Source organism: Homo sapiens, chromosome 2, assembly GCF_000001405.40.
Source record: "Homo sapiens chromosome 2, GRCh38.p14 Primary Assembly".
Lineage (NCBI taxonomy): Eukaryota > Metazoa > Chordata > Mammalia > Primates > Hominidae > Homo > Homo sapiens.
The window spans coordinates 195050580-195072054 of NC_000002.12; the positions used below are offsets into that span (position 1 = coordinate 195050580).

At 34.5% G+C, this 21475-nt stretch overlaps 1 long non-coding RNA gene across 1 annotated transcript in view; it reads right to left on the minus strand.

Annotated features, from left to right (window-relative positions):
* LOC105376755 (uncharacterized) overlaps positions 1 to 21475 on the minus strand; it is a 673333-nt gene that overhangs the window by 324408 nt on the left and 327450 nt on the right. The window contains exon 3 of the long non-coding RNA XR_007088699.1: positions 8856 to 8924. This is a non-coding gene — a long non-coding RNA (uncharacterized LOC105376755). The remainder of the gene's footprint in view (positions 1 to 8855; positions 8925 to 21475) is intronic.

The window sequence follows — 21475 nt, forward strand, 5'->3', positions numbered from 1 at the left end:
CATTTTTATAAACCTTCCAAAGAAACATACTACTCAGGCCCTACCTAATTCATGCTCTTTTAGTATAGATCCACTTTTTGCTCTTTAATTCCTCTGTCTGGTGCGAGACCACTCTTGCAGAGTGACATTGTAACCATATAACACAAACAATCTTATGGGAATATTTTGGCTAAAAATTGATCATCAGGTGGTCACCAATGCCTAGTAGTGTATTTTCATCCGAAAAGCTTATTTGCTACAAAGTACAAATTGAAGAGAGACTTGCTGCCTCTCTCTTCAATGTTGGAAACAGGCACCTGCTTTTGAGGTAATCCCTGATATCACTCTTGGTCCATATTGGCCTATCAATTCACTTTCTTGAAAAAGAGAGAGAGAGAGAGAGAGATCCTCAGCTAAGTTAAATCAAGAAGAATGTCTGGGCTTTGATTGAGACCCAAGTCTTATTCATTGATGTGAAATTGTGGAATTCTGGATATCTATTTTTTTGTTCTTAACCCTCTCTTTCTCAAGCTTTCCAACAGGACACACATGAAAAAACAGGGACCATCCTAATATCCTACTTACTATGGTTCAGAGATTGGCAGGAGATATAGGCAATATCATTAAAACATATTATCTTCTCACTCAAGAAGTTCACAAGATTGTGGTCCAAAGCACAGCAGCCCTAGATGTAATATTGTCCTCTCAAGTTGGAGCACATGACATATCAGGGGAAAATCTTGTGCCATTATCCCTACAAGTCTTTCTGGGGTCTTAAAGGTAACCAAAACTATTTGAGGAAAAAAAATTAGAAAATTAGGAAATTTGGCTAATACCACTCTATCTAGTTCTGCTGAATTTTGAAATTAGAGTTGAAATTTGTGCTCTTGGTTTAACTTGGCACAGTTGGCTCCTGACCTAGCATCAACTACAAAATCTCATCACAATCCTTTTTTTAGTATTGTTCTCTGCTATGATTTAGACATGTTTTGTTTGGCACTGCTGAGTCTCTTGTTGAAATTTGATTCCTAGTGTTGGAGATGGGCCTGGTGAGAGGTGTTTGGATCATGGGGGTGGATCCCTCATGAATGGCTTCCAAGGGAGTGAGTGAGTTCTCACTCTTAGTTCTTGAGAGCACTAGTTGTTGAAAAGAGCCTGGCACCTTTTCCCTACTCTTTCAGCTCCTCTCTCACCATGAGATCTGTACATGCTAGTTCCCCTTCACCTTCTACCATGAGGAGAAGTTCCTTGAGGCCCTCATCAGAAGCAGATATTGGTATTATGCTTCTTGGACAGCCTACAGGGGCTGAGACAAATCAACTTCCTTCCTTTATAAATTACCCAGCCTCAAGTATTTCTTTATAGCAGCATAAACGAACGAAGACAGTCTCTGTTCCAATTCTGAAATGGTGGTCTCCATTATCCTAAATTCCACTCTGTCTCCAGATAATACAATAATAACTCAACAGAAGCAAGAGCTAGCTTATATTGAAGTCCAAATGTCAATGAATGTGACAAACGTCAACCACAGTTTAGATCTGGACTGAGCACCTTGGTAGATGGTCAAACTTGCAGTTCTGGCTAAAGGATGACTAAAGAGAAGATGAGAAATAAAATCTCAACTTGAAAATCTAACAAATGAAAATCTACTCCGACTTCAAAATTAAATAAACCACCCCATTTTCATAGTTCTGAAAATAAGAAAATACAAAATGCAGTGAAGTGTTAACTTGAAGGCCCCCAGACAATCAAAAGTAATCCCATCTGGCTATTTTAGCTTATCTCTCTAGCAGTTTCCTTGCTTGTGAAGTCTACCTCAAAAAACCACCAAATTTCTAACCTTAACCCTGGTGCCAGATTTATACAAATAATTCGGCAACTTTCCTTTTATAGGTATTATTAAAACTTTGTGCTTAACAGCATTCTACCTTGCCAGAAATATTATGAATAAAACCAGCTTGTTTTTTGAGATAGGCTTTGCTAGTGATATTTATTGGGATTCCAACAAATTATACCTTTGATTACTTTTTCATTTACCTAGCTGATATGCATCTATTATTAGCAGTTTTAATATAAAATAGTAGTTTTTATGTGTAAACAGTTAAATTTGGTAAAGCTGTTGTTCTTTGACCCAAACGATATGTATTTACTGTTTCCCAGAAATTTGCAACATACATACATACACACATACAATATGTGGATACATACAAAAACACACACACACACATACATACATACACAAAATATATGGATACACACACACACCAAACAAAATTTTCTAAATTGGCAGATCATTTATCTGCATAATTACCCCAATTGTTACCAAAATAGTAACTATGAGGAGAAGCAACATCAAGAACTCTGAGTAGTGAAGACTCTCCTCTAAAAACCCTGACCTTGAGTAAACAGAATGGCTGAAAGTATGAAAATGGAACGAAATGGTAAAGATGGGAGAAAATAATGTTCAAGACAGGTCTGTATTTCTGAACTCTTTGTTAAGCAAGTCCTCCTTAGCTGTTCTGAGGCTACGCAGTTTACCTAATTTACCACCTAAAGCCGTTTATAAATAAATCAAACAGAAGCTATGAAAGGAAGCTAAATCATCCATCATGCCTTTTGAGGCCTAGTCTACCTAAAAACAAACATCATTTAATTCCAGTTTACTGTAGCAGCAAGTGGAAATAACACGAAGTCCTCGTGAGCCTGGCACTGCCTCCTGACACAGAGATCTGGTGCCAAGTTGCTGAGTGATTTCAATATCAGGGTTGAATAATCATTTTCATCATTCATTTTAAATGAACAGTGACATGTCATTAATTAGTATTAATCAGGAAATTACCACATAAGCGCAGAGAGAATGGTGGCCCACACACAGCTCATTAAGCTTACAGAGCTTAAGACATGAACTGAAATTTTAGATGCAAATAACTCATTTAAAAAAATCTTTCTAATATAATATGAAACAAAAATGGATTTTAAGTAAATATTTTTAAAGTAAATGAAATATTAGCTTTGGTCAATAACCATGACTATTTGTTTTTCTAAAGGAGGAAAAAAATATTTTCCACTGCAAAAGAAGTACTACAGATCAAAAAATAAATGTCACATATGAAGAAAAAATTCTACCAATAAATTAATATCTCAGCATGCTATTTTATAAATGACATTTGTAGAGAAGGCAGAGTGAAATCTATGTAATAAACAGTTAATCCAAAACTTCAATTTGACTATTAATTGATCTTCTTGCTGATGTTAAAGAGAAATATTATTACTAAGAACCAAAAATAAGAAAAGCATATTGACTTCTGTATTTTCTGTGCATCTTAAGCATTTGACAGACATTTTCTTGGAAATAATTGAAGTGAGCCTGTGACTTCAAGGAAGACACCTTGTGTTTGTTGCCAAAAATGTAAGCTTTCCAACAAAAAGCAAAATTTTGAAAAATTTATATCTACCATATGATAACTTCCCACAAAATGTATCTTCTGATGAGATCAGTGGTGATATTAACAAATGTGACTTTTTTCACATTATAAAATCAAATATGTTGACATTCAGAATACTTGCATCACTCAGTAAACCAATGTTTTCCAAATGACCAATCCATGATGTTAAAAAAATATAAAAAATAAAAAAATTGAGTCAGGCATGGTGGTTCACATCTATAGCCCTAGCTACTTGGGAGGCTGAGGTGGGAGGATTAAAGCCAGGAGTTCAAGGATGCAGTAAGGTATGATCACATCATTGCACCACTCCACTCCAGCCTGAGCAATAGAGTGAGATACCCCATCTAAAAAAAAAAATCAATAAGGGCCAAAAGATTTTAATGTCACAGAGTACAAAATTCATTCATATGGTTTCTGATTGCATGTTGCAACTAACTTTTAAGAACCTAGCAGTTCCAAATGGTGGTATCAAGAAAAGGTTTTGAAAATAATCCTACCTTTTTCAACTATATGTGAAAGAAAATCTTGCTTAATATATTTTAAACAAAACAATGCATTGCAACAGATTAAATGTGGGTGTTGGTATAATTTATTTCCTTGTGGCAGTATGGCTGAAATATCTTCAGCTCCTCAAAGCCACCCTTAGGTCCCTGCTACATGTCCCTGTTCTTAGGCTGTTCATACTGCAACAGCTTGCTTCTTCAAGGCTAGCAGGAGAGAGTGTCCAGTCTTCTAAGACTTATATAATATAACCTAATCAAAGGAATGGCATTCCATCACTTTTGCCATATTCTATCGGCTAGAAATAAATCACAAGCTCTGTCTGTACTCAAGGAGAGGGGATTATAGAAAGGAAGGGGAGGAGAATATTGGAAACCACCCTGGAGTCTATCACACAAAGTATTGATGACTCCTAAAACAACGGCAACAAAACAACCATTAGCATTCTTTATATAGCATTTCTCCAAACCTGCACAATTTTACTTTGGAGGTTTAAAAAATCAGTTTCTCTCTTGAGAAGCTTTAGGAAGTCCTTTAGAACATTTCATTATAGCTGAGCATGTATCAAATGATTACTAGTTTTTTGAATAAGAAGTATTAAAATAAGCATGCTCCTGCTGTGTTAATCAGAGACTTCTGGGTTGTTAAATTAGCATAAATTATACAAGAAAGTATATTCCCCAGTCGTCTTTATTCTCAACTTCAGGGATTCTGTAACTTTTTCTTTAATAGGCGCTTATTCTGTACAGTAGGGCATGAGCCAATTCTTCCATACGTGACATCACAGAAAACTATCCCCATGAGACCATTAACTAAAAAAATCTCATAACAGTTTCCATTAAGCATTAGGAAAGTAATCCAACAATAAGTTATTTTTCAGTGTCTGATGAGTTAATCCAATGATGAAATCAGTCTGATTTCAAATGTTAAATATATTTAAGTGAATCACATTGAAACTTGAATTAATTTCAAAACAACATTTGCCTTCTGAGCTCAACTACTGAAATATAAAGCAATCACTCTGCACAGTGATATTTCCTGGGAACATATGGACCTCATGATTTAAAAAAGAGAGGTAAAAATATGTGGCAAAGATAAGTAATGAAAGGAAAACAGAGTTATTAGACAGAAATAAAGATATAAAAGTATATTTTTTACCATTACCTCTTATCTCTGTTCTTATATCTTACTTTATCTCCCTTGTTTCCCCGTTCATTTTTAAACATACTGTTTGTTACCATATCTTTGGAGCCTAGAACAATGTCTATATATACTAAGTACTCAAAAAGTATTTGTTGAATAGATGAACTATGAATAAGTAAATTAATTCTATTTTTAGTGTTTTTATCTTTCTGTTACCTAATTCTTGCCACATTTTTATTCTTTATGTCCTCACATAGTCTATCCCATCTTAAAGGTCTGAGGAATAACTATGATAAATGAAAAGAATCACCTACTTGCCATTGATTTAATTAAGAGGAGGAAGAATTAAGATATTGATGTAGACAGAAAGAATTGCTGGTTCAGTGTGCAGGACAAGTAAGCCCTGAATAAAGAATAAAGCCCCCAAAGCATCAGGGAGAGATGAAATTCAATACTATTTTAGGTGGAATAGAGGTTTGAATGAGCCTCTGTTTTTACATTACTCTGGGCTGCTGATTCTGTTGCTCCTGCTAATGCCTCATGGCAGGTGTGCGAGCCTCGCTTTCAAGTCTGATATTTCACAAGATAAACTGGCATTTAAGCTCCTCAGGCTCTCCCTGGGAGTCATTCAATGAATATACCAAAGAGCTTTTGGTTCACTATGATTCCACAAAGGTCAAGTCCTAAACATTTAATGGATATGTGATGATTAAAAGGACTATTTACCATAGATGGTTAGGCCTAAGAACATTTTTTTTCCTAATTTTGATTGCAAATTATTAAGAATAAAACAAAACACTGCCTCAACAATCTGCGTAGACAATATTATTTTAGAGTTTTGTGATTAAAAGAGGTTCTTATTTTAAGTACCTGTATTAATATGACAAAACAATTGCTTTGATGTAAACTAAATATTTTTGTCTAAATTCATATTTTCACTATTATGAGCATTGGTCAGGATGCTAAGAATGAATGTTTTTTATTTTATTTTTATACATGTCCATTTTTAACCAAAGGCTTACTATGAAAAGGAGTAATAAACTATTAGTTAAGAATATTATTCTTCCTCTTCAGGTAAGATCACCTCACATTTTGACTGAATGTATTTAGTCCAACACCTAACTAGTTAAATAGCCAGTTTTACTAGTATAGATAACTTGTTTATATAGATTTATTTTTATAATAGTTTAACTTTTTATCAGCAGCTTCACTTAGTAAATATTACCTGAGATATTTAGTTTCATTCCAAACACCTGATCTAATAAGGATACGCAGTCACTGAGTTTACAAGGATTCTTAGAAATGAAGAAGTCCTCTGCTTGTTAGAAATTATAATTACTGGTTAAAAATATAAGTCAATAGTAAAATTAGATGATATGACAGTGTTGGAATTCTCTGCTGAACTAACAATCACCAAGTAAAATGTCATTCACGTTAGGGTTTTGACAATCTGAGGAGTTTAATTCCGGAGAAAAGGTACCAGTGGTCATTGACAGAGCCAGCCAATCCTGCCTGAGCTGAGTGTCAGCTGTTAAGACTTGGATGTCCTGGGATGAGCCCAGATGAACCTCAAGCCTGCTGAATCACACACAAACTTTAGGAAACAGCTTCTCTGCTGTTGACTTTTGTTTTCAGTCATAAGCAATTTTGAGAAAAAAAAAAGAGCTTAGACAAGATGATGGTTTCTTGGTTAGATCATCAGCACTCATTCAATCAACATTTATTGAGCACATGCTGGGAACCAAGAACTGAGAAAAGTTTGAAAAGACTATTCCTGCAATTCCCAGACAGCTGTAAATAAAATAAAATAATCAGGATTAGAAGCAAAAATATATGACACACTGCAATCATGCAAAAAAATGTAAGTTGAAACAAGATATTAAAGAATAGAGAATAAGGAACCTCAGTATGGGGAATACAGTAAGAAAATAAAAGAGAAAAAGTTTCTGCATAGAAAAGCATTAAGAAAAATAGTTCTTATAAAAAAGTGAAAGATAGTGGATGAATAAATAAAATATCTGAGTAATACAATCATCTGTCTATAGGGAAATACTAAAATACCCAATTAAGTGTGTCCATTTTTAACCAAAGACTTAACATGAAAAAGAGTAATAAACTATTAGTTGGGAATATGATTCTTTCTATTCAGGTAAGATCACCTCACATTTTGACTGAATGTATTCAGTCCAACACCTAACTAGTTAAATAGCCAGTTTTACTAGTTTCACTGCTTTTCACAGATTCAGTGGATTAGGCATAGGCTAAACCAGCCACATTAAATACTCTGTCACTTTCGTATAACAGAGACATCTTTTATAGTGAGTGTAGTGAGAACAGTGAGTACATAATGAGAATAATCAAAGCATTACAAAGCATAAATTATTTGTCCCTCTTTGGGTTAAAAATAATATGCATATATAAAACATTTCATTATTACTTTTATAGGTTTGGATTTAAGAACCAAAAGGTGTATATTCGTTATTTCTATGTAAAAATATCAATATCTCAATGGCATAAACTAACATCTATTTTTCAGGCCATGAATTCTGCAGGTTATCTGAAGTTCCAATAATCTAGACTGATCTCAGTTGGGACAGGCTGGACTCCAGGCTTTGGTGGGTCCAGGTTTACTCTATTTGTCTCACATCCTCAAACCCAGACTGATGGCATAGCAGCCATCTAGAGCACGCAATGTTTGCGGTAATCAGAGAAGCAAAGAAGGTGAGTACAAACAATTGATGTCTACTGATATCTCAACTAAAATTCAACATACTATGCTTTTATCCACATTCCACTGGCCAAGCAAAATGCATGGCCAAGCAAATCACATGACCAATAGGGCAGGGAATATACTCTGCTGATAACTGAAGGCATTGCAGAGCAACATGAAAAAAAAAAAAAAAAAAAAAAAAAAAAAATATATATATATATATATATGAAGGGATGGAACAAGAGATTGAAACCTCTAGTCTAAACTTTCACAAGGTGAATTAGGTATAACATCTCATGGACTACATTCTGCTTCAATAGAACTTGCAGGAAAATAGACTTGAGATGGTTGCACTTAGACCGAACTCAGGATCAAAAGCACTCATGATCAAAAAGAAAATGAGCCTTTTGGGATATGAGAGCACTTTGACATTACTGTCATTCAGGAATACTAAGCAGAACCACTGCTTTCACTCCCAAATATCCTTGCTGATGCTGAAATTAGTTCAAGCATCACAAGCCAGTTTCTATTATCAGGAAATGAATTATACCAATTGCTAATGAAGTTGGTTTTATTAAAAAGGGTACAGGTATGAACACATACACTTTTCTGCATTATATTATGACCTGTATATTTTAAAGAGAGAGTCTTGCTCTGTTGCCCAGGCTGGAATGCAGCGGCGCCATCTCTGCTCACTGCAACCTCTGCCTCCAAGGTTCAAGTGATTCTTGTGCCTCAGCCTCCCAAGTTGCTGGAATTACAGGTGTGCACCACCATACCTGGCTATTTTTTTGTATTTTTAGTAGAGATAGGGTTTCACCATCTCCTCTACTCCTGCCAGAGATACTAGAAGATATCTTGACTCTTTACAGTGAGAAACTGGCATGATTCCTAAAGGGAAAATCTACAAAATTGTGGTGTACCCCATAAGATTTTCAAGCTAATATGCACTAGCCCCCAGGGTTCTCTCACCCTCAAGACAGTCCACACTCAATCTGAATTTATCAAAATTACCACTTAAAATTTCCTACCAGCTTATGGATCTAGCAGCTCTGCTCCAGGTCGGCAGATCTCACCTGTGACTGTCTGGATTCACCTTTTTCTCCAAATTTTGGTGTAGTCGTTGTCTTTTGATATCACTTCTCCTGTGGGTCCAAGAAAAGATGATTTTCAGTTTGTTCAGCTTTTTTCACATTGTAAAGATGGAACTGATAACTTTCAAGCTGAAATGTGTCAGAGCTGAAACTGAATGGATTAAAATTTGGAAAATAAATTTTAATTTTAAAAAAGAATAAGAAAACCATAATATTTGTAAGCATTTCTTGAAGTAGAAGCAAATAGATTATTCATTAAATTCTCCCATTAATTGTGGTCAACTAAGTTCTGATTTTTTAAAAATCTGCAGTTTTCACAAACCTGTGGGATTCTATCTAGAGAACCAAGGAGCCAGGGGAAAGTGATTCTGATCCAGGCAGCATTTGATCCTGTTTTGTGTAGTCAGCTCATTTCCTTTAAGTGTCTGAACCTGAAGCTAATTAAATCTCCAATAAGTAAGTACAGCATCTTCCCACCAATTCATGAAATACCTGAAAGCCTGCAAAATTTAACATCATAAAATGAGAAACATTCAAAATCTGTTGAATTGGTTCAATATCTCTTTATTCTCTACCTTTTGACCAAGTGGTACAATAATTTCTTTTACCTAATCTCTGTGATTGTGTTTCTCAATATGTTTTCCAGGACCACTGGCATAATCAGATGGACATTTGGTACCCAGACACACTGAACCAAAACCTTTGGGAGTTAATCTACATTTTCAAAACTTCCCATGTAATGATTATGAACATTATAATTTCTCTTTACCACAGGTTCTCAAAATGTGACTCTGGGCCAGCTTGTTTCAGTAAGTCTTCCATGTGATTCTGATGTATACTGGAGTTTGAGAATCGCTGCTTTGTACTGTGGAAATAATTCATTGCTTCTACAAAGATGACCTCCATTTTCCAAAAATCTTGAAACTGTACAGAGTTGTGTTGACTATTTTCAACAAATCATTTTGAACAATCAGAGTGGCAATGTAATACATAATTTGTAATCAATAATCAACAATAGGTTTAATACATGGCTAAATTGTTTTTCCTTCGCTCATCAGAATTAGTCTATCTATAAGGTGATAGGTCCCTGCTTTTATGTTCTATATTTTACTGTATTATTCATCTTCAAAGTACAGAAATGTTAAGTGTTTAACAACATAGAAAACAAATGTTTTCCAACTACATTCAATATAAATTATTTTGGGGGAGAAAGTATAGATGGAAATAAATAAATGTTCATTTAGTGTTTTAATTATTATAAAATAGACAATTCAATATCTTTCAGTTTTCAAAATTTTCAGGAAAATATTATGCATTGAAAAAGATGTGCTCTCCCATATTTCAACTTGCTTTTACCTAAAGGTATATTAATATCCATATAGCTTTAAAAGGATAAAATACTTTTTTAGGTATTATAAAATATTTATGCTCTTAACTATTTAATAAGCCATTTCATTATAAATAAATAAAGTATTTAATGACATAATAGATGAGTTTAAATGAACTATAAAAATGCATGTGATGTAATATTAATTTTTGTTAAATGCAAGTTTCAGTGTTTTTTAATTAATGAGTAAGGAAATGATTTAATTGAAATAGGCTAACACTACATCAAACATGAAGAAACAGAAATTATAATTTTATTTTAGTAGTCCTCATTCCAAGTTGGCACATGAGTCTGACATTATTCCCTGAACTATTCACAGTGTCTATGACAGTCTTCCCTAGCATAGTTTCAAAAATAAAGAAACCATTATAAAATTTTAACTATCACATTTGTTACCATTTTGAAAAGAAAAAAAAATCTATACCTTTATTAGTTAGCTTCTTCTTTAGTCACCCAGTAATGATGCACATTTTTACAACAAAAGCCTGAATACATTGTGAGCTTATGTCTTTAAAGTTATTCTTTCAATACTTCTTGCAGATCAAAGAGCCACTGTATTGAGCATGTCACAAAAAACTCAAAACTGTGAAATTGTCCATTAAAGTTTAATAAAAAGGAAGAATTAAATTTTCAATCCCATCCTATAAGCTGACAGATAGTTAATGTCCAAGGATGTCTATCTAACCTTTGAAACAGCAGAAATATAAAATAGATTTTAATTATGAAATATTAACAACAGAAAGAATATAAGAAAAATTGAATTATGTTAATGGAATAGAAGCAATATCACTTTTTTATGTTTTAAAATGTGTCAACATTTTAGAATAAAGTTTTGTACTTTAATCATATCAAATAAGGTAAGCATGTAGTCATCCTCATGTGAATTTCTCAATTACCCTCAATTTTTTTTCACTAAAATATATCAACACACTCTCAGGGTAGCCTGCAATATGAATAAGGAGTGATAAAAAGTTCATACTATATATAATAGTATTATACTTATGATTTCACTAAAGGATTTTTCTGATTCTATAAATATTCCAGAGCCAAGATTCTAATAATTATATATAGGGAGAGAGGTCTATATTCTAGAAGCAATTAGTTTAGTTCCAGATTTTAGTTTTATGTAATAAAATAATGGGACAATTTTGAGTTAATATTTTAAAAGTTAATAGTGATATTTGTTTTCATTTTATTTTGCAAAGCACGTGCATAATCTGTCTTTAGGTCATTTAGTAGGGAAAGGAGTTGATATTTTTGGCATAAATCCTAAATTCTATCCATAAAAATCTCATGTCTTTCCCATTAAGTACTATGGTATTAGAATTAGTCGATACAAAAGGTATTGTGGTTTTAATATGCTTTCCTCTTTTCTCCCCACAGCCACTATTGAACTAAAAGAATCTATGCTATGGAAGAGATGACCTCTGTTGAGCAGGCAGTAACAAAGGCCATACAACCCAGAGATAGTTAGACAAATCCCCAGAGGATTATACATCTAAGAAGCTTGTAGGAAAGAAAACAGGTAAAAGCTATTAGAAACTAGATAAATACAATAATTATTCATTTTGCTTACAAATCTCACCTTTGGCAGTAAAACCTGAATGAAAGACATAGTCAGGTTAAAAAACAATAATAATAAATATTCCATTTCACCATGCCTTTAAGAAAACTACTAAGGTTGTATAAAAATAATGCATGAACAGAGCATTAGTTTTAATTGTTTGCTTATTTCTCTTATCTTGGAATTCATTTTCTCTCAAATTAACCACAGCAGCTACCTTTCCTCCTCTACAATGACCTTTCCTCCAATCTATCTCTTTGCTACTGTAAAATAATGTGCATTCTATTACTTTTGCTATGCCACCTTAAGGCCTACAATAGATTTTCCATCATTTATATCAATTTTAAGATTTTCATTCTCTACTTTAAATACTTTATACTCAAAGTGTGTCCAAATATATCTCACTTCTGCCACTCTGAAGTAAATATTACTCCTCATAACTTAGAGACACATACTCAAAACTTTCATAGTTCAGATTGCCACCTTTGAACATCCACCAAATGTAAGAAATAACTCTCCTCATAGCCTACCATGCAATATGTCTGTGGTGAATTGATTATACTAATAGCCCTAACTCTTCACATGTCCCTGTATCTAAAAAACACACCTGTATTTAATGAGACATATGAGAAAATTCAGCTAAAATCAGCTGAGTTTAGCCCAGACCAGCAGATGTGCCCAGCCAACTCAAATATGTGAGAAATAACAAACTGCTGTTGGGCTAAGCTTCTACGTTTAGGGATAAAAAGAGGGACAGAGCCTAGACATGCAAATCAGAGCAATTTAATGGAAGGAAAATCTGTCTAGTGGCTACGTTTGGGAGACAATACAACAAATCTGGAAGTCTATGCCATAATTGAACTTAGGTCTATGACCATGGACAAGAAGCAGCTGACCCAGTCAAGACAGGTTATGAACCAAACGATTGTCAGCCTTATAACAATTTAATTTCATGTAGTGCTACATGAATAAAGTGCATAAAAATAAATGTGACTTGCCTGTTCACTCTGATGGTAGTTTCTTTTGCTGTGCAGAAGTTCTTTAGTTTAATTAGGTCCCATTTGTCAATTTTGGCTTTTGTTGCCATTGCTATTGGTGTTTTGGACATGAAGTCCTTGCCCACGCCTATGTCCTGAATGGTAATGCCTAGGTTTTCTACTAGGGTTTTTATGGTTTTAGGTCTAACGTTTAAATCTTTAATCCATCTTGAATTGATTTTTGTATAAGGTGTAAGGAAGGGATCCAGTTTCAGCTTTCTACATATGGCTAGCCAGTTTTCCCAGCACCATTTATTAAATAGGGAATCCTTTCCCCATTGCTTGTTTTTCTCAGGTTTGTCAAAGATCAGATAGTTGTAGGTATGCGGCGTTATTTCTGAGGGCTCTGTTCTGTTCCATTGATCTATATCTCTGTTTTGGTACCAGTACCATACTGTTTTGGTTACTGTAGCCTTGTAGTATAGTTTGAAGTCAGGTAGTGTGATGCCTCCAGCTTTGTTCTTTTGGCTTAGGATTGCCTTGGCGATGCGGGCTCTTTTTTGGTTCCATATGAACTTTAAAGTAGTTTTTTCCAATTCTGTGAAGAAAGTCATTGGTAGCTTGATGGGGATGGCATTGAATCTGTAAATTACCTTGGGCAGTATGGCCATTTTCACGATATTGATTCTTCCTACCCATGAGCATGGAATGTTCTTCCATTTGTTTGTATCCTCTTTTATTTCCTTGAGCAGTGGTTTGTAGTTCTCCTTGAAGAGGTCCTTCACATCCCTTGTAAGTTGGATTCCTAGAAAATTTTCGCAACCTACTCATCTGACAAAGGGCTAATATCCAGAATCTACAATGAACTCAAACAAATTTACAAGAAAAAAACAAACAACCCCATCAAACAGTGGGCGAAGGACATGAACAGACACTTCTCAAAAGAAGACATTTATGCAGCCAAAAAATACATGAAAAAATGCTCATCATCACTGGCCATCAGAGAAATGCAAATCAAAACCACTATGAGATACCATCTCACACCAGTTAGAATGGTAATCATTAAAAAGTCAGGAAACAACAGGTGCTGGAAAGGATGTGGAGAAATAGGAACACTTTTACACTGTTGGTGGGATTGTAAACTAGTTCAACCATTGTGGAAGTCAGTGTGGCGATTCCTCAGGGATCTAGAACTAGAAATACCATTTGACCCAGCCATCCCATTACTGGGTACATACCCAAATGACTATAAATCATGCTGCTATAAAGACACATGAACACGTATGTTTATTGCGGCATTATTCACAATAGCAAAGACTTGGAACCAACCCAAATGTCCAACAATGATAGACTGGATTAAGAAAATGTGGCACATATACACCATGGAATACTATGCAGCCATAAAAAATGATGAGTTCATGTCCTTTGTAGGGACATGGATGAAATTGGAAACCATCATTCTCAGTAAACTATCGCAAGAACAAAAAACCAAACACCGCATATTCTCACTCATAGGTGGGAATTGAACAATGAGATCACATGGTCACAGGAAGGGGAATATCACACTCTGGGGAGTGTGGTGGGGTGGGGGGAGGGGTAGCATTGGGAGATATACCTAATGCTAGATGACGAGTTAGTGGGTGCAGCGCACCAGCATGGCACATGTATACATATGTAACTAACCTGCACAATGTGCACATGTACCCTAAAACTTAAAGTATAATAAAAAAAAAAGAATAGCTAAAAAAAAAAATAAATAAAAAAAAATAAATGTGACTAAAGATAAAAAGAAAAATCTAAATTCACTTATAGGCATAGTTCACATAAGGCCAAATTTAATGTAACTTATGTGTATTTGAATAAATTCAAGAAAAGAACCTATAAAATTGCCTTTTACTCATTTATCCAGTCAACTAATATTAACTGACCACAAATTGGCTGATTTTTCCATTTTAATTTTTTGTTGTTTATTTTTTCTACTTTGATTACCTCAGTCGGTAGTTCTTTTAGCCAAAAATCTAGTTGAGTAGTTATTATTTCTTATGCTTTTCCATGTTTTAATTCATTAACTTGTGCTTTTTATCTTTATATTAATTTTTCTTTAAATAGACTTTGGTTTATTTTGTTTGAAAGAACATATTTAGTTCATAAAGTAGTCTTTCTTGTTTAATAATATAGGTGCTTGGCTGTGATTCTTTCTTTAAGCCTTACATTAGCTGTATTCCTTAGGTTTTAATACATGCAGTTTTAAGTTTTCATTTTTTTAATCTATATAATATGCCAGTGATGCTTTATTTTTCTTTACCTCAGAGATTTTTGAAAGGAAGAATTGTTTTTCTTTTTAAATTTCCATATGGAATTTTTTGTTTATATCCTTGTTTTATGCTATCACTTTAAATTGTATTGATTTTTGAGTTCCAAAAAGTTGTTTTGTACCACTTCTTCATTTTGAAAATTATTAAAGTTTTCTTTGCTCTTCATCTAGGATCAGTTCTAGATGTTCTTCTGTGTGTGTGTGATTCTGTCTCTCTTTCTCCCCAACTGTACAATTCATTATATATTATTTAAATCTACCTGATTAATTACATTAATTTGCCCTTCATAGGCTTCTTTTGTGATTTCGTTCCTCAGATATAAGAAAGATAAATTAATGTTTTAATTATAGTTATGTTACTGTTTATTATTTTACATTGTTTCTCATGGCTTTTGTTTTCTTAATATTCATGGCATATTACTTGGTACATAAAGATTCACAGACTCCATCCTTTTACTTTCCATTTTTATTTCAAATGTATCTCTTATATATACCACATAAAGATATATTATTATTATACCATCTGAAAGTTATTTTTAATAAAATATTTTACTGATATGAAATTTAATCAGAATTCCATCATGTTATTTTGTTTTTATGTTCTCTTAGTGTTTTTGTCTTTTATATAATGTGATTTGTAATTTTGTTTGTATAATACTTGTTTTGTTTAATACTTGTTTGTATAATACTTGTTTTGTTGTTTAAAAACTTTTTTTCTGGTAATGTGGAAAGAGTATGATCTGTTCAACTAATCTGTAGCATTATACATGTAAATATGATTATTTTAATCTTGAAAACTTAAATGTATATCACTTCCACTTTCCAATTTTATCAAATTATTATTTCTATATTGTCAGGATTTAGAATATTTACGTTGTCTTTTGTAGCCATAATTTTAACAATTGTTATGAATTGAAATAATTTAATTCTTACTACCAGTCCCTTCCTTCACAGGTTTTAAATTTATCTCCTGGTAAGCTAAATTTCCTTTTTTTTTTCTTTGTCTTGCTTTTCTAAGAAGAATGTGTGCTGCTATTGTTTCTGAATTCTTACATGTTTGAAAATGTTTCCTTCCTGTTTTAACTCTGAGCAAAAATTTGGTTGGTTAAACAATTCTTAGAGCATCCTTTATTTTACTAAAGATGTTGTAGACAATGTTTTGCTGTTGGGGCATATAAAGTACAGAACCAACCTAGTTTAGTTTTCCTAAAAATGGTGACAAATTAGTCTCCTCAAATGTGCACGGTATTTTTTTCTCTATCTTGAACGTCTAGTAACTTTACCAAGACATGTCTCAGTATAGATTATTTATAATAACTTGATAAAATTTCTGATAAACTATTATCTGGAGAAATTGTCTATCTCTTTTCTAATAAAGCTGTTATTTTAAACCTAATTTTTAAAATAAAAATTAAACTTTAAGTTTAAAATTTTATTAAATAAAAATTTTATTTTTATGAATGTCATGTGAGATATTGGGGAAAATGCTATATTCAGTTTCACATGTAAGTTACATCAAATAGATGTTTTGAGGCTACAAAATTCTTCTATTCCTACCTATTTAACAAGATGTATATGATCTTGTAATTTTATTCAATTTCCTATGATACCAGTAGTTATCTCACACTGGATTGATATATTTTAAAATGTATGATTAATATGATTCAATCACAAGATAGAGAAAAGACTCAGGCTTATACTGTGGTAAAGAAGTAAAGATAAAAGTAAAAAGAAAAGAATATTATTATAACTTTTTCTATTTTCCAAAATTTTTCTACTTTTAAAGCAAACTAAATATGTCCTGAGAAGGACTCCATATTTCTTTTTTTTTTTTTTTATTATTATACTTTAAGTTTTAGGGTACATGTGCACATTGTGCAGGTTAGTTACATATGTATACATGTGCCATGCTGGTGTGCTGCACCCACTAACTCGTCATCTAGCATTATGTATATCTCCCAATGCTATCCCTCCCCCCTCCCCCCACCCCACCACTGTCCCCAGAGTGTGATATTCCCCTTCCTGTGTCCATGTGATCTCATTGTTCAATTCCCACCTATGAGTGAGAATATGCGGTGTTTGGTTTTTTGTTCTTGTGATAGTTTACTGAGAATGATGATTTCCAATTTCATCCATGTCCCTACAAAGGACATGAACTCATCATTTTTTATGGCTGCAGAGTATTCCATGGTGTATATGTGCCACATTTTCTTAATCCAGTCTATCATTGTTGGACATTTGGGTTGGTTCCAAGTCTTTGCTATTGTGAATAATGCCACAATAAACATACGTGTGCATGTGTCTTTATAGCAGCATGATTTATAGTCCTTTGGGTATATACCCAGTAATGGGATGGCTGAGTCAAATGGTGTTTCTAGCTCTAGATCCCTGAGGAATCGCCACACTGTCTTCCACAACGGTTGAACTAGTTTACAATCCCACCAACAGTGTAGAAGTGTTCCTATTTCTCCACATCCTCTCCAGCACCTGTTGTTTCCTGACTTTTTAATGATTGCCATTCTAACTGGTGTGAGATGGTATCTCATTGTGGTTTTGATTTGCATTTCTCTGATGGCCAGTGATGATGAGCATTTTTTCATGTGTTTTTTGGCTGCATAAATGTCTTCTTTTGAGAAGTGTCTGTTCATGTCCTTTGCCCACTTTTTGATGGGGTTGTTTGTTTTTTTCTTGTAAATTTGTTGGAGTTCATTGTAGATTCTGGATATTAGCCCTTTGTCAGATGAGGAGGTTGCGAAAATTTTCTCCCATTTTGTAGGTTGCCTGTTCACTCTGATGGTAGTTTCTTTTGCTGTGCAGAAGCTCTTTAGTTTAATTAGATCCCATTTGTCAATTTTGGCTTTTGTTGCCATTGCTTTTGGTGTTTTGGACATGAAGTCCTTGCCCATGCCTATGTCCTGAATGGTAATGCCTAGGTTTTCTTCTAGGGTTTTTATGGTTTTAGGTCTAACATTTAAGTCTTTAATCCATCTTGAATTGATTTTTGTATAAGGTGTAAGGAAGGGATCCAGTTTCAGCTTTCTACATATGGCTAGCCAGTTTTCCCAGCACCATTTATTAAATAGGGAATCCTTTCCCCATTGCTTGTTTTTCTCAGGTTTGTCAAAGATCAGATAGTTGTAGATATGCGGCGTTATTTCTGAGGGCTCTGTTCTGTTCCATTGATCTATATCTCTGTTTTGGTACCAGTACCATGCTGTTTTGGTTACTGTAGCCTTGTAGTATAGTTTGAAGTCAGGTAGTGTGATGCCTCCAGCTTTGTTCTTTTGGCTTAGGATTGCCTTGGCGATGCGGGCTCTTTTTTGGTTCCATATGAACTTTAAAGTAGTTTTTTCCAATTGTGTGAAGAAAGTCATTGGTAGCTTGATGGGGATGGCATTGAATCTGTAAATTACCTTGGGCAGTATGGCCATTTTCACAATATTGATTCTTCCTACCCATGAGCATGGAATGTTCTTCCATTTGTTTGTATCCTCTTTTATTTCCTTGAGCAGTGGTTTGTAGTTCTCCTTGAAGAGGTCCTTCACATCCCTTGTAAGCTGGATTCCTAGGTATTTTATTATCTTTGAAGCAGTTGTGAATGGGAGTTCACTCATGATTTGGCTCTGTTTGTCTGTTGTTGGTGTATAAGAATGCTTGTGATTTTTGTACATTGATTTTGTATCCTGAGACTTTGCTGAAGTGCTTATCAGCTTAAGGAGATTTTGGGCTGAGACAATGGGGTTTTCTAGATATACAATCATGTCGTCTGCAAACAGGGACAATTTGACTTCCTCTTTTCCTAATTGAATACCCTTTATTTCCTTCTCCTGCCTAATTGCCCTGGCCAGAACTTCCAACACTATGTTGAATACGAGTGGTGAGAGAGGGCATCCCTGTCTTGTGCCAGTTTTCAAAGGGAATGCTTCCAGTTTTTGCCCCTTCAGTACGATATTAGCTGTGGGTTTGTCATAGATAGCTCTTATTATTTTGAAATACGTCCCATCAATACCTAATCTATTGAGAGTTTTTAGCATGAAGGGTTGTTGAATTTTGTCAAAGGCTTTTTCTGCATCTATTGAGATAATCATGTGGTTTTTGTCTTTGTTTCTGTTTATATGCTGGATTACATTTATTGATTTGCGTATATTGAACCAGCCTTGCATCCCAGGGATGAAGCCCACTTGATCATGGTGGATAAGCTTTTTGATATGCTGCTGGATTCGTTTTGCCAATATTTTATTGAGGATTTTTGCATCAATGTTCATCAAGGATATTGGTCTAAAATTCTCTTTTTTGGTTGTGTCTCTGCCCGGCTTTGGTATCAGAATAATGCTGGCCTCATAAAATGAGTTAGGGAGGATTCCCTCTTTTTCTATTGATTGGAATAGTTTCAGAAGGAATGGTACCAGTTCCTCCTTGTACCTCTGGTAGAATTCGGCTGTGAATCCATCTGGTCCTGGACTCTTTTTGGTTGGTAAGCTATTGATTATTGCCACAATTTCAGCTCCTGTTATTGGTCTATTCAGAGATTCAACTTCTTCCTGGTTTAGTCTTGGGAGAGTGTATGTGTCGAGGAATTTATCCATTTCTTCTAGATTTTCTAGTTTATTTGCATAGAGGTGTTTGTAGTATTCTCTGATGGTAGTTTGTATTTCTGTGGGATCGGTGGTGATATCCCCTTTATCATTTTTTATTGTGTCTATTTGATTCTTCTCTCTTTTCTTCTTTATTAGTCTTGCTAGCATTCTATCAATTTTGTTGATCCTTTCAAAAAACCAGCTCCTGGATTCATTAATTTTTTGAAGGGTTTTTTGTGTCTCTATTTCCTTCAGTTCTGCTCTGATTTTAGTTACTTCTTGCCTTCTGCTAGCTTTTGAATGTGTTTGCTCTTGCTTTTCCAGTTCTTTTAATTGTGATGTTAGGGTGTCAATTTTGGATCTTTCCTGCTTTCTCTTGTGGGCATTTAGTGCTATAAATTTCCCTCTACACACTGCTTTGAATGCATCCCAGAGATTCTGGTATGTTGTGTCTTTGTTCTTGTTGGTTTCAAAGAACATCTTTATTTCTGCCTTCATTTTGTTATGTATCCAGTAGTCATTCAGGAGCAGGTTGTTCAGTTTCCATGTAGTTGAGCGGTTTTGAGTGAGATTCTTAATCCTGAGTTCTAGTTTGATTGCACTGTGGTCTGAGAGATAGTTTGTTATAATCTCTGTTCTTTTACATTTGCTGAGGAGAGCTTTACTTCCAACTATGTGGTCAATTTTGGAATAGGTGTGGTGTGGTGCTGAAAAAAATGTATATTCTGTTGATTTGTGGTGCAGAGTTCTGTAGATGTCTATTAGGTCCACTTGGTGCAGAGCTGAGTTCAATTCCTGGGTATCCTTGTTGACTTTCTGTCTCCTTGATCTGTCTAATGTTGACAGTGGGGTGTTAAAGTCTCCCATTATTAATGTGTGGGAGTCTAAGTCTCTTTGTAGGTCACTCAGGACTTGCTTTATGAATCTGGGTGCTCCTGTATTGGGTGCATATATATTTAGGATAGTTAGCTCTTCTTGTTGAATTGATCCCTTTACCATTATGTAATGGCCTTCTTTGTCTCTTTTGATCTTTGTTGGTTTAAAGTCTGTTTTATCAGAGACTAGGATTGCAACCCCTGCCTTTTTTTGTTTTCTATTTGCTTGGTAGATCTTCCTCCATCCTTTTATTTTGAGTCTATGTGTGTGTCTGCACGTGAGATGGGTTTCCTGAATACAGCACACTGATGGGTCTTGACTCTTTATCCAATTTGCCAGTCTGTGTCTTTTAATTGGAGCATTTAGTCCATTGACATTTAAAGTTAATATTGTTATGTGTGAATTTGATCCTGTCATTATGATGTTAGCTGGTGATTTTGCTCGTTAGTTGATGCAGTTTCTTCCTAGTCTTCATGGTCTTTACATTTTGGCATGATTTTGCAGTGGCTGGAACCGGTTGTTCCTTTCCATGTTTAGCGCTTCCTTCAGGAGCTCTTTTAGGGCAGGTCTGGTGGTGACAAAATCTCTCAGCATTTGTTTGTCTGTAAAGTATTTTATTTCTCCTTCACTTATGAAGCTTAGTTTGGCTGGATATGAAATTCTGGGTTGAAAATTCTTTTCTTTAAGAATGTTCAATATTGGCCCCCACTCTCTTCTGGCTTGTAGGATTTCTGCTGAGAGATCTGCTGTTAGTCTGATGGGCTTCCCTTTGAGGGTAACCCGACCTTTCTCTCTGGCTTCCCTTAACATTTTTTCCTTCATTTCAACTTTGGTGAATCTGACAATTATGTGTCTTGGAGTTGCTCTTCTCGAGGAGTATCTTTGTGGCGTTCTCTGTATTTCCTGA